The sequence below is a fragment of the Homo sapiens genome, chromosome 15 (assembly GCF_000001405.40).
Source record: "Homo sapiens chromosome 15, GRCh38.p14 Primary Assembly".
Taxonomy (NCBI): domain Eukaryota; kingdom Metazoa; phylum Chordata; class Mammalia; order Primates; family Hominidae; genus Homo; species Homo sapiens.
In genome coordinates, this window is record NC_000015.10 from 28,573,780 (window position 1) to 28,589,576 (window position 15,797).

Consider the following 15,797-nt stretch of genomic DNA (forward strand, 5'->3'; position numbering starts at 1 on the left):
TGTGTTTCATTTTCTAATAAATCTCTTTCACAAATCACCTTGCTGTTTCGCTCTTCTTGAATGATCATTTTTACACAACACTGTCTGACTGTTTTGGCTTCTGCCAAGGTTAGCGTCTGTTCACAGGCTGAGTCTGACTTCCTCCTCCCACCTCCTCCTAGTCTGGCCTTCCAAAATAATGCTCACCATTCTATCACATTGACTTCAGTTTTGAAAAGAAAAGTTATCTTACAAAGTAGTAGGTACAACTCTGTAATATGTAAAGTGAGGCAATGATAGAACCAGTTTTAAAAATAACCTTCCATGATGATTTTCATTCGCACCTACCTGCTTATTAGTAAGAATCTTTTTACATGTTTACTGCACGCCCCAATTTCTCTTCTGTGAAAAACTTCTGAGTATCATCACACCCTCCAACTTCTCCTCTCACCTATATTGAGAAGGGTCTGCTCTTTATCCTAACATCTATACTAGGTAATTTTCAGAATATTCCTTCAATCATCAAACAAATTTTTGAGACCCTTGCGCTAGATTTCACTATCTTAATATGAAAACCAATAATCACCTATTAAAATACAATACAGGCCGGGAACAGTGGCTAACACCTGTAATCCCAACATTTTGAGAGGCCAAGGCAGGTGGGTCACCTGACGTCAGGAATTTGAGACCAGCCTGACCAATATGGTAAAACCCCATCTCTACTAAAAATACACAAATCAGCCAGGTGTGGTTGCAGACGCCTGTAGTCCCAGCTACTCGGGAGGCTGAGGCAGGAGAATAGCTTGAACCCAGGAGGCGGGGGTTGCAGTGAGCCAAGATCGTGACACTGCACTCCAGCCTGGACGATAGAGCAAGACTCCATCTCAAAAAAAAAACAAAAAACAAAAAACACCATTAATAAGTAAATAAATAGGCCAGGCGTGGTGGCTAATGCCTGTAATCCCAACATTTTGGGAGGCCAAAGTGGATGGACCACCTGAGGTCGGGAGTTCAAGACCAGCCTGACCAACATGAAGAAACCCTGTCTCTAATAAAACTACAAAATTAGTGGGGCATGGTGGCGCATGCCTGTAATCCCAGCTGCTCGAGAGGCTGAGGCAGAGGAATTACTTGAACCTGGGAGGCGGAGGTTGCAGTGAGTCAAGATCGCACCACTGCACTCCGGCCTGGGCAACAAGAGCGAAACTCTGTCTCAAAAAAAAAAAAGTAAATAAATAAAACACAATACAATACAGCTAATATGATTTACCTAAGAAGCTGTTGTATGAGCTGAACCAGAGGCAAACACTGTTTGCCAGAAGACTCACAGATCCCCGTATTAATAAGGTCTTTATCCAATGGAGTCCTCCTTCTATGAAATGTTGAGGCATTTGCTTCCTGTTCATAAATTTCTTTTTCCTTCCGTGCTTCTTTTTTTGTATCCTGTAATTGATAAACAGAAATTGTTTACAAGTGATCTCATTACCAGGTGTGAAGGCACACAGGCTGGCTGAGCCCTGACCCCAGTGCCAAGCTATCCCAGCCTCTGTGGCTGCCACACCCATCCACCCACAGGCCCCCCACCTGCCCTGTTGGAAACCCCAACTCATTTGTGCAGTTTCAAACAGTGTCTTCTTTTTACAGATCCAAGGTCCAGGCTGCCTCTGCTGATGCTCTCCAGCCTCCTTCTGTGAAGTCCCTAAAATCCTTAACCCTGCTAATGGCTCACACAAAACCCAATGTGATCGGCTCCACACACGCAGCATCCAGCTGCTCTGTAAGGACAAGAAGGAGCTAGAATTCTCACACACAAAAGTCCTGGTTCAAATGCAAATGGCAAAGCCACTTTGGGAAACTATGAACACACACTTACCCCAGGACCTAACAAATTCCACTCCAAGTGTTTATCCAAAGGGAGAACATATGTTCACTAAAGTACTTGTTCACAGCACAATTGTGGCAGCTCTACACGGCCAAAAACCAGAAAGCCTGGGCGCGGTGGCTCACGCTTGTAATCCCAACACTTTGGGAGGCCAAGGTGGGGGGATCACTGGAGCCCAGGAGTTGAAGACCAGCCTTGCAACACAGTGAAACCTTGTCTCTACAAAAAAATCAAAAAACTAGCCGGGCATGGTGACATGTATGTGGTCCCTGCAACACAGGAGGCTGAGGTGGGAGGATCATTTGAGCCTAGGAGGACAAGGCTGCAGTGAGCCAACATCAGGTCACTGTATACAGCCTGGGTGACAGAGCAAGACCCTGTCTCAAAAAAAAAAAAAAAAAAAGAAAACAAAAACCAAAAACAATTACATGTCCTTCAATAGGAGAATGAACTAACAAACAGTACTACACCTATAAAATGGAAAACTTCCCAATAATAAAAACGAAGTCGCAATACACACAACAGTGAGTGAATCTGAAAATCATTCTCCAAGGCAAAGCAGGAAAGAGTGCATACTATACAGTTATATTGCTGCGACACTCAGAGCAGGAAAAATGAATCTAATCTCAGGGCAGGGGAGTATCCTGGCTGCAAGTGCCAAGGAGCACAGGGATCTTTCCGGGTGACGGGAATGGTCTACATGAGGAACAGGTTACCTGTTAACTTCACTGAAACAGACAACATGCAGTATTTTATCACAAATCATCTCAATAATTTTTAAAATTAGCACATAAAAGAATTTTAATTTAAAAAAATACTTGGATATAAGTTTAGTGTTTTACTGTTTTCAGTTATTCTTCACATGTGTGAGTGTGGTATTTCCGATCTCAGCCCACCACCAGGTCACGTGTGCCTCCAAGGCCATACCTGGATCTCTGCAGTAATGGCTGCGTGTAAGGCTGACTCCAACCCTCCATCAGCCATCAAGCTGCCCACCAGAAGATCAATCACCAATCGATGACCTGGACTTATGTTCACTTCATTGCCTGAAACTGAAATAGAAAGTCTGTGCCAATTTGAGTGAAACGCCATCCCCTCCCAGCACCCTGACCCATGCCCTCTCCTGTTCCTTCCCCGAGCCCACCTCCACAGGACAGGAGAGCAGAGTGCCCGGGCCTGCTTCTCAGCGGTGGGCAACAGCATGGACCAGCCGCTCTGCAGCATGGCCTGGGAGGCCGACTGCACGGTGCTCAGCACGTCTGCGCTGCTTGCCAGGGTCACCACCTTCTGCTTCAGGCTGTTCAGGAAGACGCTGCCCAGACCTAAACCAAGGAATTCCAGGTCAACCTGGTGACTAATGGCAGCATGCAACTGAAAGGAGAAAAACAATTTTCACTTAGAACCCCTAAAAATGAGTGAATTTCAAAGTCTTATTAAACACTGAATAAAAGTCAATTTGAAGTATTATTTAAATAGACAAAATAACTTCTCAGTTTACGTATTTTTAAAAACTGGACTAAAAAAACTCTTACCCACAATAGTTGAAGTATTTTCTAGAGGAATTTTTTTTAACCCCACTATGAACACATATATGGAAAAGCTCAAGATGAGCAGAAGAGCTAAACAACTAGCAACAGCAACCTCCACCCCGCCCCAACAATCTGCACCAAACACAGAAATAATGGCTACAATGTAACCACAAAAGCTGCCACAGGCGGTGGCTCATGCCTGTCATCCCAGCACTTTGGGAGGCCGACGTGGAAAGCTCACTTGAGATCAGGAGTTCAAGATCAGCCTGGCCAACATGATGAAACCCCATCTCTATAAAAAAATCAGCCGGGTGTGATGGTACACACCTGTAGTCCCAGCTACTTGGGAGGCTGAGGCAGGAGAATCACTGGAACCTGGCAGGCCAAGACTGTACCACTGCATTCCAGCCTGGGTGACAAAGTGACACCCTGTCTAAAAAAAAAAAAGAGCTGCTAAAAATTAGACTGCGGAGCTGAGAGTACACAGGGAAACTCCTCAAGTGCAAAACCAAAATTCACATGGGCACACACAGCAGGAGTCAAGAGGTTCCGGGCTCTGAAAGCAGAGCCAAGCCGCCAGGCTTCAGCACAACCTCCCACACGGGAATGCACACAAGGACCCACTGAACCCGAGCTTCCTGCAGAAGGCTGGGAGCCACTCAGGATCACCTGCCTGCCAGCCAACCGCAGCCAGGGGGCAACACACTGCCCGTCCCAGGCTCTGGGTAGCAAGAGGCCCCATGAGAAATCAGAGACCCGGCCTTGCCCTGTAAGTAGAAGTGAAATCAAAAGCACACCACTCATCTAGGTATAGATATCACAGGTCAGGAAATGACCACCGAAACTCACCTGGAGTCTGTGAAACCTACAGAACCCTCAGGACCCCGGAGAGGCAAATGCAAAACCATACGCTGGGACACCTCGACAGCCTAAGACATACGCAAGGCCACGCCCCACAGCACTGACCAGAACAGACACATCACCGCAAACCAGGAGGGGCAGCAAACACCTGGGGCGCAACCACGCAAACGCCAGGATGCCACAGGTATGGTGATAAATGAGTGCTACAGAGGACTAGAGGAGAAGCATGCTCCAGACCTCTGCTCAGTTCATTACTGCAACTAAACACTACACTCAGTTCTGTACATTCTAGAAGCAGGGCAAAAAGGGGAGGGGCTGGAAGAGGGACATGACGGGTTGTTACAAGAAACCACTGTAATAAAAGGGAAAAATTACTATGTCGAGAAAACCGTGGTTCTTGTCATTAAGTTAGAGGGTTTTATTACAAAGACAAAAGATGATGATCAAACACTTCAGCTTTAGTTTTGCTAGGGAGGAAGGCTTTTGTAGCTTTTATTGTGACCCTAACCACAGCCTTCATGGTGAGGAAAGGAAGGTATTGCTTTGGGAGCCGAGCTTATTGAGTAGATCAAGCTTGTTCAACCCACGGCCCGAGGGCAGCATGTGGCCCAGGGCAGCTTTGAATGTGGCCCAAAGTAAAATTTCTTAAAACATCATGAGATATTTTTGGGATTTTTTTTTTAAGCTCATCAGCTATCATAAGTGTATTTTATGTGTAGCCCAAGACAATTCTTCTTCCAGTGTGGCCCAGGGAAACCAAAAGACTGGACCCTCCTGGAGCAGGGTTTTCACAGGACAGAGGAGAGACAGGCCAGCACTGGTCTCTCAGCTGAGCTCTGTCTCTCTCCATCACCTGTGATCTCACCCAGTCATTTCTCCACACGCAACAACAGTAAAACAGTAAGAATACCAACAAACTAATGATTATAGCAAAAATAACACAATCCATATACACTCTTCCTGCATGCCGAGGCTGACTTCCAGGACAAACATAAAATAAACAGATCAAGTTTTTTAAGCCTTGCGTCCATTATTAGTGCATTACAATCTTACTTTAAAATACTTCCCCCAACAGGCTAAAACCTATGTCCTTCAGAATACATAAACCTTCTTACAAATCGCTAAGACACTTATAAAAGGAGCAAGAGGAAGGGAAATCACGAATACCTGAAGTCGGGGAAGATTCAGCGTTGCCACGGCCACGCACTCTTTCTCCTGGGGCGGGGGCCAGTCCGCGGAGCCATCCATCCCCTCACTCACCTGCCGAAGCAGGAGATCCAGCTGCTCAAAAGTCACTGAGCAAATATCCACCCCAAAAGGGACATGGAGGCCAATGGACCACTCAGAACACGATGACCAAGCAATGCTCTAAGAGGAAACGCAACAATCGGAAATGAATCTCCAAATGCAGCTCTTGGTCTGTCGCACAGGAGTCACCAGCTTGTGTGATGGAGCTGCCTTATATTATTACCTATCATCCCTCTAACTGCCCAGTGGAAAAGCATTCATGGGTGTCTAGCTCACACACTATCAGCTTCCAATTCTCCCACCCATTTCACTAGCCCCATCTCACTTGGCCATACCTAAAAAAGTAAAAACATTTTAAAAAATCTTTTCACTCTCAAAATGATTAATGCACATTAATGGATGGCAGTGAGGCTCTCCATCCACTTGAAGTGGTATAATAGCAACTCTAACTAGAAAATGAATTGTTAGACACATATAACACACACAATACCTTTCATAGTGAGAGAACAAGTAATCGGCAAAAATCTAGGAGAACTGTAGAACACCTTCAATAAACTGGATCTAATTTATAGAACACTTCACCCAACAACAGCAAAATACATATACTTTTTTTTTTTTTTTTTGAGACAGAGTCTCGCTCTGTCGCCCAGGCTAGAGTGCAGTGGCGGGATCTCAGCCCACTGCAAGCTGTGCCTCCTGGGTTCACGCCATTCTCCTACCTCAGCCTCCTGAGTAGCTGGGACTACAGGTGCTCACCACCACGCCTGGCTAATTATTATTATTTTTTTAATTTTTATTTTTAGTGGAGATGGGGTTTCACCATGTCAGCCAGGATGGTCTTGATCTCCTGACCTCGTGATCCACCTGCCTTGGCCTCCCAAAGTGCTGGGATTACAGGCGTGAGCCACCGTGCCCGGCCATACATACACTTTACATATACTTTTTTTAAATTTTATTTTTTTTGAGATGGAGTCTAGCTCTGTCGCCCAGGCTGGAGTGCAGTCGCACGATCTCAGTTCACTGCAAGCTCTGCTTCCCAGGCTCAAGCCAGTCTCCTGCCTCAGCCTCCCAAGTAGCTGGGACTACAGGCGCCCGCCATCATGCCCGGGTAATTTTTTTTGTATTTTTAGTAGAGACGGAGTTTCACCCTGTTAGCCAGGATGGTCTCGATCTCCTGACCTTGTGATCTGCCTGCCTTGGCCTCCCAAAGTGCTGGACCATACATATACTTTTTAAGCACATACAGACCATACATATACTTTTTACACATATATGTATACATATATGTATATACAGACCATACATATACAGACCATACATATACTTTTTAAGCACATACAGAATGTTCACTGAGAACATAACCTGACACATAAATCTTAACAAATTTAAAAGAAATGAAATCATATGCAGTTTGTTCTCCAATCACAATGGTATTAAACTAGAAATCATTAACAAAACAATCTGCAAACACTTCAAAATAAAACAACATACTTAATAATCCATGGGTCAGGCCGGGCGCACTGGCTCACGCGTGTAATCCCAACACTGTGGGAGGCCAAGTTGGGGGGATCACCTGAGGCCAGGAGTTGAAGATCAGCCTGGCCAACATGGAGAAACCCCATCTCTACTGAAAATACAAAACAATTAGCCGGGCATGGTGGCGGGTGCCCGTAGTCCCAGCTAATCAGGAGGCTGAGGCAGGAGAATCGCTTGAACCCAGGAGACAGAGGTTGCAGTGAGCCGAGATCATGTCATTGCACTCCAGCCTGGGCAACAACAGTGAAACTCCGTATTGAAGAAAAATAATAATAATAATAATCATCATCATCATCCATGGGTCAAAGAACAATTCTCAAAAGAAATTAGAAAATATTTTGAACATAAATGAAAATGCACCAAAATTTGTGGGTTTAATTAAAGCACTGCTTAGAGGAAAATTTATAGCATCAAATCATTATATATTACAGAAAAGATAGGTCTAAATCAGCAATCTAAGTTTCCACCTTAAGAAACCAGAAAAAGAGCAAAGTGAACGCAAAACAAGCCAAAGGAACAAATGCCAAGATAAAAGCAGAAACTAATGAGATTGAAAGCAAAAAAAGAAGGGAAAAATTAATGAAACTTAAAGATCATTCTTTGAAAAGATCAACAAAATTGAAAAACTCTAGGAAAACTGACAAAGAAAAAAACAGAAAAGATACAAATTATCAGTATCAGGAATGAATGAAGGGACATCACTGCAGGCCCCACAGACTTCAGACGGTTAGCAAGAGAACACTAAGGAAAACTTGACACTTAAAAATCAGACAACTTAGATGAAATAAAGCAATGTCCGAGTGCCACAAACCAGGAAAATCCTCCTAGAAACAAACAGGTTACCTGAATAGTTCTGTATCTGTTAAATAAATTGAATTTGTAAAAATTTTTTTTTTTTTTTTGAGCCGGAGTCTCACTCTGTCACCCAGGCTGGAGTGCATTGGTGCAATCTCAGCTCTCTGCAATCTCTGCCTCCCAGGTTCAAGTGATTCTCCTGCCTTAGCCTCCTGAGTAGCTGGGATTACAGGCGCACGCCACCAAGCTCGACTAATTTTTTGTATTTTTAGTAGAAACGGGGTTTCACCATGTTAGCCAGGCTGGTCTCAAACTCCTGACCTCAGGTGATCCACCTGCCTCAGCCTCCCAACGTGCTGGGATTATAGGCACGAGCCACCGTGCCCGGCGTAAAATCTTTTAGAAAGAAATCTCCAGGTTCAGATGGATTCAAAAACATTTAAAGAAGAAATAACACTAATTCTACACAATCCCTTAGAGAAAATGGAAAAGGAGGGAACACATGCCAATACTTTGTATAAGGTCAGCTTTCCCCTGACAGAAAGCCAGACAAGATAGTATAATACAAAGAAAGAAAACTGCAAACCAACATCCCTGATGAGCATCAACAGAAAAATCCTCAAAAACGTGTTAGCAAGTCAAATTTAGCAATATAGAAACAGAATAGGGCCGGGCGCAGTGGCTCACGCCTGTAATCATAGGAATATTGGGATGCCAAGGAGGGTGGATCACTTGAGGTCAGGAGTTGGAGACCAGGCTGGCCAACATGGTGAAACCCCATCTCTACTAAAAACAAACAACAAACAAACAAAATTAGCCAGGTGTGGTGGTGCACACCTGTAATCCCAGCTACTCAGGAAGCTGAGGCAGGAGAATTGCTTGAACCCAGGAGGCAGAGGTTGCAGAGAGCTGAGATTGCACTAATGCACTCCAGCCTGGGTGACAGAGTGAAATTCTGTCTCAAAAAAAAAAAAAAAAAAAAGAAAGAGAGTAGTAAATCGTGGCCAAGTGATGCCTATCCCAGTAACACAAGGCTTGGTCAGTATTTAAAAATCAGGCTGGTATAGTGTCTCACACCTGTAATCCCAGCACTTTGGGAGCTCACTGCAACCTCAAACTCTTAAGCTCAAGCAATCCTCCTGCCTCAGCCTCCTGAGTAGCTGAGACTACAGGTGCACACCAGCATGCCACGCTAATTTTTAATTTTTTTGTAGAGATGGGATCTCGCTGTGTTGCCCAAGCTGGTCTCTAACTCCTGGGCTCAAGTGACCCTCTCGCCTATGCCTCCCGAAGTGCTGGTGTGAGCTGTTGCACCCAGCCAAAATACGGCAGATTTGTAGTACCCCAGAAGGCTCCTTCCTGACCTACACTTTCCCACAAAGGAAACTACTCTTCTGACTTCAATCATCGTCAGTTCTGTCTTCCTGCGCTTCATCTAGGTGGGCTGGTACTGTGCACTGTCTCTCATACCTGGCTCCCTCTATTCACCCATGTCGTTGAGTGTTCCTACCACTTCATTTTTCTTTTTTGGCTGTGTAGTATTCCATGATGTGACTGTATCACCATTTATTCACTCTCCTGTTGATGGACATTTAGGTTGTTTTCATTTGGGGCTCTTATGAATAAAAATGGCAGTGAACATTCTTATATAAGTCTTTTTGTGGACATATGCACTCGTTTCTCTTGTGTACATGCTTAGGATGGAATTTCTGAAGGTAGGCATAGATATAGCTTTAGTAGAAGCTGCCAAACAGGTTTCCAATGTGCTTATACAATTTTATGCTACTGCCAGCTTGACAGTTCTTGTAGCTCTACATCTTTACCAATACTCTGTATAACACAGCATTTAACTTTAAATAGAGATAAAACGATGGTAAGATCCAAAGAAGTGTGCATGTTCCTGAAGAACATCCCGTAAAGGGCCTATTTTATTCATCTGTTTCGGGCACTGAAAACCACTGCATGGCTGGATGAGGAAGGAGGCCTGGTACAACTCCCAAGAAGGCATGTGTCCCTCGGGTGGGCTTTGTTTCCCAGAAACTCTGGGGAAGGGGTGGAGAGGCACCTTCTGGGCCAGCTGGTCTCCTCTGGCTTTTCTTGTACCCTAGGGCTCCCTCCAAAGAGACAGAGAACAGCCTGGCCGGGGAGCAGTATCTCCTACTGCGCTTGCTGTGAGCCAGCCACTCTGCCTTCTTTCAGGAATTACAAAATCCACAGGTCCCCGGCATTCTTATTTATGTATTTATTCATTTATGAGGCATGGTTTTCCTCAGCTCTGTTGGATGGGTCTCTGTGAAGGGAGCTTGGTGGGGGCGAGTGGCCCCTCCCTGGAGGAGGCAGGCCCCTGGTCAGGATCTTTGGGGCTCCAGGTCTCATAAGTGGGGGGCCAGGCTCCCTAGAGAAACCCTTCTTGGCTAGGGCTGGGGAGCCCACCAGAGTGACCCAATCAGTTCTCAGGGCCTGTGATGGGGCCAAGTGGTTTTGAGAAGCCAGTGTTCAGCTCCATCCTAAAGAGCACTCATGCACGTTGAGGAGGAGGGCCGGGGTGCACAGCTCTGACCTGAGTCAGACCCACCTCAGGACTTAGCCCAGCAGGAGGCCCAGAGTCACTGACCATAAAACGAGCAGATGCCTCCCCCGTGCTGATGGAGATGAGTCTTGGGCATCAACTCTAATAATTTCTAACTGCACCCAGAAATACTGATTCACACAGCAACTAGTGAATAATAGCCTTTTAGAGCTAAAAAAGCCTCATATATTATAAATTAACATATGCATTTTACACAAACTAGAGGCACCGTGGTGGGCCAGCAGCAGCCTGTTCAGGGGCCACAACAAGGGAGATTGGATTTCCTTAAGTGCAATGGGAGTTACTGGCAAGGCTTTAAGGTTTTAGCCACAGGAAAGATGAAAGTATTTTAGAGCAATGTGGGTGGATTCAAAGTGAGGTTTTGAACTAGATCAGTTTTTTTTTTTTTTTTTTTTTTAGACAGAGTCTGACTCTTATTGCCCAGGCTGGAGTGCAGTGGTGCTATCTTGGCTCACTGCAACCTCTGCCACCCAGGTTCAAGCAATTCTCCTGCCTCAGCCTCCTGAATAGCTGGGATTACAGGCACCTGCCACCAAGCCCGGCAAATTTTTGTATTTTTACGGGGTTTCACCATCTTGGCCAGGCAGTTCTTGAACTCCTGACCTCGTGATCCACCTGCCTTGGCATCCCAAAGTATTAATTTTTTTTTTTTTTTGAGACGAAGTCTTGCTGTGTCGCCCAGGCTGGAGTGCAGTGGCCCGATGTCGGCTCACTGCAAGCTCCGCCTCCCAGGTTCACGCCAGTCTCCTGACTCAGCCTCCCGAGTAGCTGGGACTACAGGCGCCCGCCACGATGCCCAGCTAATTTTTTGTATTTTTTTTTAGTAGAGATGGGGTTTCACCGTGTTAGCCAGGGTGGTCTCAATCTCCTGACTTCCTGATCTGTCCGCCTTGGCCTCCCAAAGTGCTGGGATTACAGGGGTAAGCCACCACGCCCCTCCAAGTATTAAATTTTTTATTTAAAAAATCTCCCCTCTCCAAAGATCTCCCAGCATTTCTGCAGAGGTCTCTACCTAGGTAAGGAGAAGAAACTATTCTTGGCCGGGTACAGTGGCTCACGCCTGTAATACCAGCACTTTGGAAAGCCAAGGTTGGAGGATTCCTTGATCCCAGAAGTTCGAGACCAGCCTGGCCAACATGGTGAAACCCCATCTTTACCAAAAATACAAAAATTAGGTGGGTGTGGTGGAGTGTGCCTGTAGTCCCAGCTACTCAGGAGGCTGAGGTAGAAGGATCGCTTGGGCCTGGGAGGTCAAGGCTGCAGTGAACCAAGGTGGTGCCACTGCACTCCAGCCTGGGTAACAGAGTGAGATCCTGTCTCAAAAAAAAAAAAATTATCTGTGAGGGTGAAATTTAAATACCTTTGTGCATAGCTATCAGTTATTCTTTGTTTTAATATTTAGTTTATTGTGAAATATAACACATATAGAAACATACATAAAACAACACACAGGGCCAGGCCCGGTGGGTCACGCCTTGTAATCCCAGCACTTTGGGAGGCCGAGGCGGGCGGATTACTTGAGGTGAGGAGTTTGAGACCAGCCTGGCCAACATGGTGAAACCCCATCTCTACTAAAAATACAAAAATTAGTCGGATGTGGTGGTGCATGCCTGTAATCCCAGCTACTTGGGAGGCTGAGGCAGGAGAATCGCTTGAACCTGGGAGGCAGAAGTTACAGTGAACCAAGATCGCGCTACTGCACTCCAGCCTGGGCAACGGAGTCAGACTGTGTCTAAAAAAAAAGAAAAAAAATATAGGCCGGGTGTGGTGGCTCACGCCTGTAATCCCAGCACTTTGGGAGGCCGAGGCGGGCAGATCCCTTGAGGTCAGGAGTTCGAGACCAGCCTGACCAACATGGAGAAACCCCATCCCTACTAAAAGTACAAAATTAGCCGGGCATGGTGTTGCATGACTGAAATCCCAGCTACTTTGGAGGCTGAGGCAGGAGAATCGCTTGAATCTGGGAGGTAGAGGTTGTTTTGAGCTGAGATCACGCCATTGTACTCCAGCCTGGGCAACAAGAGCGAAACTCCGTCTCAAACAAACAAAAAACAAAACAAAAACAAAAAACACAGTGTAACATGTTATTATAAAGTCACTGCTCAGGGACCAACTTGGCCGGTCCTGTGCCTCTAGAGGGAAGCTCCTTCCCACTGTTCTTTAGAGTTTTATATGTTAAGTACAGGAGTCAACAAACTAGGCCTATGCACCACATCTGGCACCCAGCCTTTATTTATTTTTTGAGATGGCGTCTCACTCTGTCACCCTGGCTGCAGTGTGGCAGCACAATCTCGGCTCACTGCAAACTCCACCTCCCAGATTCAAGCAATTCTCCTGCCTCAGCCTCCTGAGTAGCTGGGATTACAGGTGTGTGCCACCACACCCGGCTAATTTTTATATTTTTGGTAGAGACGGGGTTTCACCATGTTGGTCAGTCTGGTCTCGAACTCCTGACGTCAGGTGATCCGCCTGCGTTGCCCTCTCAAAGTGCTGGGATTACAGGCATGAGGCATGATGCCTGACCCAGCCTTTTTTAAAATGAAGGTTTCGGCTGGCGCGGTGGCTCATGTCTGTAGTCCCAGCATTTTGGGAGGCCAAGGCAGGTGGATCACCTGAGGTCAGTAGTTGGAGACCACCCTGGCCAACATGGTGAAACCCCGTCTGTACCAAAATACAAAAATTAGCTGGGCGTGATGGCAGGCACATGTAATGCCAGCTACTCGGGAGCCTGAGGCACGACAATCACTTGAACCCGGGAGGCGGAGGTTGCAGTGAGCCAAGATCACACGATTGCACTCCAGCCTGGGCAACGAGCGAAACTCCATCTCAAAATACAATAATAAAAAAAAGGATGTCCTTTTTTGTCTCTCAACCCCGTTTTTTATTTTTTTTTATTTTCAGACAGGGTCTCGCTCTGTTGCCCAGGGTGGAGTGCAGGGGCCCGATCTTAGCTCACTGCGGCCTCAACTTCCCCAGCTCACATGATCCTCCCACCTCAGCCTCCCAAATAGCTGGGACCACAGGTGGGTACCACCATGCCCGCCTAATTTTTGTATTTTTTGTAGAGATGGGATTATGCCATGTTGCTCAGGCTGATCTCGAACTTCTGGGCTCAAGTGTCTCTCTGCCTCCACCTCCCAAAGTGCTGGGATTGCAGGCCTGAGCTACCATGCCCAGCCCTGCTTTAATTTAAAGTGTATTACATTTGATATTAGTACAGCCCCTTCAGCTCTTTTTTGGTTACTATTTTAATTGTATCTTTGTATCCCTTTACTTTCAATCTGTTTCTGTATTTAAAATGTTTATCTTGTAGATAGCACATTGGTGGATCATATTTTGTTCTTCAATCCTTTCAGCCAGTCTGCTTTTCTTTCTTTCTTTTTGAGACAGAGTTTTCCTTTTGTCACCCAGGCTGGAGCGCTATGGTGCGATCTCAGCTCACTGCAACCTCTGCCTCCTGGGTTCAAGCGATTCTCCAGCCTCAGCCTCCTGAGTAGCTGGGATTACAGGTGCGTGCCACCAGGCCTGACTAATTTTTGTATTTTTAGTAGAGACAGGGGTTTCTTCATGTCGGTCAGGCTGGTCTTGAACTCCTCACCTCAGGTGATCCACCGCCTCAGCCTCCCAAAGTGCAGGCATTACACGCGTAAACCACTGCGCCCGGCCAAAGTGGTGGATTTTTTTTCTCAGAAAATCTATTCCATTCTTTTTCCAGAAACCAAATTTGTACAAGTTAACTAAAATAAATATTTATACTCTAATTTTTTTGTTCTGAGGTCTGAGTTTTTAGAATTTTATCTTTACATGTTTAGAAAAATTAGAAAATATAGATAGAACATAACCAAGAAAATAATAACAACTTTCCTTCTGTTCAAAGTTCATTACTATTAGCCGAGTGCAGTGACTCACACCTGTAATCCTAGCACTTTGGGAGACTGAGGCGGGCGGATCACTTGAGCCCAGGAGTTCGAGACCAGCCTGGGCAACATGGCAAAATCCCGTCTACAAAAACTACAAAAATTAGCCAGGTGTGGTTCCATGTGCCTGCAGTCCCAGCTAGTGGCAAGGCTGAGGTGGAGAACCACCTGAACCCGGTAAGTCAAGGCTGCAGTGGTGCAGCCTCTGTCCCCCAGGCTGGAGTGCAGTGGTGCAATGTCGGCTCACTGCAACCTCCGCCTCCCGGGTTCAAGCGATTCTCCTGCCTCGGCCTCCCGAGTAGCTGGGATTACAGTCACGTGCCACCACACCTGGCTAATCTTTGTATTTTCAGTAGAGAAGGGGTCTCATCATGTTGGCCAGGCTGGTTTTGAACTCCTGACCTCAGATGATCCACCTGCTCTGGCCTCCCAAAGTGCTGGGATTACAGGCCTGAGCCACCACGCCCGGCCGTTATTTTTCTTTCTTAGAGGCAGGATCTCACTCTGTCGCCCAGGCTGGAGTGCAGTGGCACGATCTAAGCTCACTGTAGCATTGATCTCCCAGGCTCAGGCGATTCTCCTGTCTCAGCCTCCCGAGCAGCTGGGATCACAGGTGTGTGCCACCACACCTGGCTAATTGTTAAATTTTTTTATTTTTATTTTTTAGAGATGGGGTCTTGCTATGTTGCCCAGTCTGGCAACATGGGATCCTCCAACTCCTGGCTTCGAGGGATCCTCCCGCTTCGGCCTCCCAAAGCGCTGAGAATTACATACGTGAGCCACCACGCCCGGCCTATATTGTTTTATAGTTCTTCAATTTTGTTTTGTGGTCGCCGGAGGTGTTTCCTTCTTCGATTCCCTGCACAGTGCTTCCACAGCTGCTCCATGGAATCTGCCCAAGACTTTTGCTGCGTTCAGTTGAACACACAGGAGGAAGCTCTTCAGGCCCCAGCCAGCCGACCGCACAAAGATGCGTTCTCATACCCAGGGGAGCTGGTCTCGCCACTCGACCCGCGCCCTGGATAGCTATAGTTAGTGTGAGCGCCACCACCCGCCGCGGCGTGATCAAGAGCGCTCCGGGCCAAGCAGTCTCCCGTGGGAGTGCGGGAGTGCGTGCGTGCGGCGGAAATCCCGCCTTCCGGCGCCCGCTGTTGGCCTTGGCCGCAGCCAGGGCGCTCCAAGTAGGAAGATAAGCGGGATTGCTGGAAGCGGGAGAGTCGGGAGGAGCGGCGAAGGGCTCCTCTTCCCCATTGGCTGCGCCCACGGAGCAGCCTCGTTGCGATTGGCCGTACGCGGGGGGCGGCAGTCCCGCGTCGGCCCGCCCCTCGGGCCGCGAGAGGCGCCGGGATCGCGGGCGCCGGCTGAGCCAGCGGCTCTTGGGAGGCTGCGTCCGCGCGCCGGCGAGGCGAGGCGGCCGGGCCCTGCGCGTCAGGTCCTGGCCTGGGGCACCTGGGCGGCCG

The 15,797-nt window shown here is 47.1% G+C and overlaps 1 pseudogene across 1 annotated transcript; it reads right to left on the reverse strand.

The window, feature by feature from the left end:
• HERC2P11 (HERC2 pseudogene 11) lies at positions 1-15,461 on the reverse strand (annotated as a pseudogene). Its single transcript, NR_145479.1, has 5 exons — positions 15,112-15,461; positions 5,419-5,619; positions 3,006-3,183; positions 2,789-2,927; positions 1-1,422 (listed from the first exon to the last, which is right to left on the reverse strand). The product of NR_145479.1 is annotated as an HERC2 pseudogene 11 (transcript).
• Between the last annotated feature and the right edge of the window lie 336 nt (positions 15,462-15,797).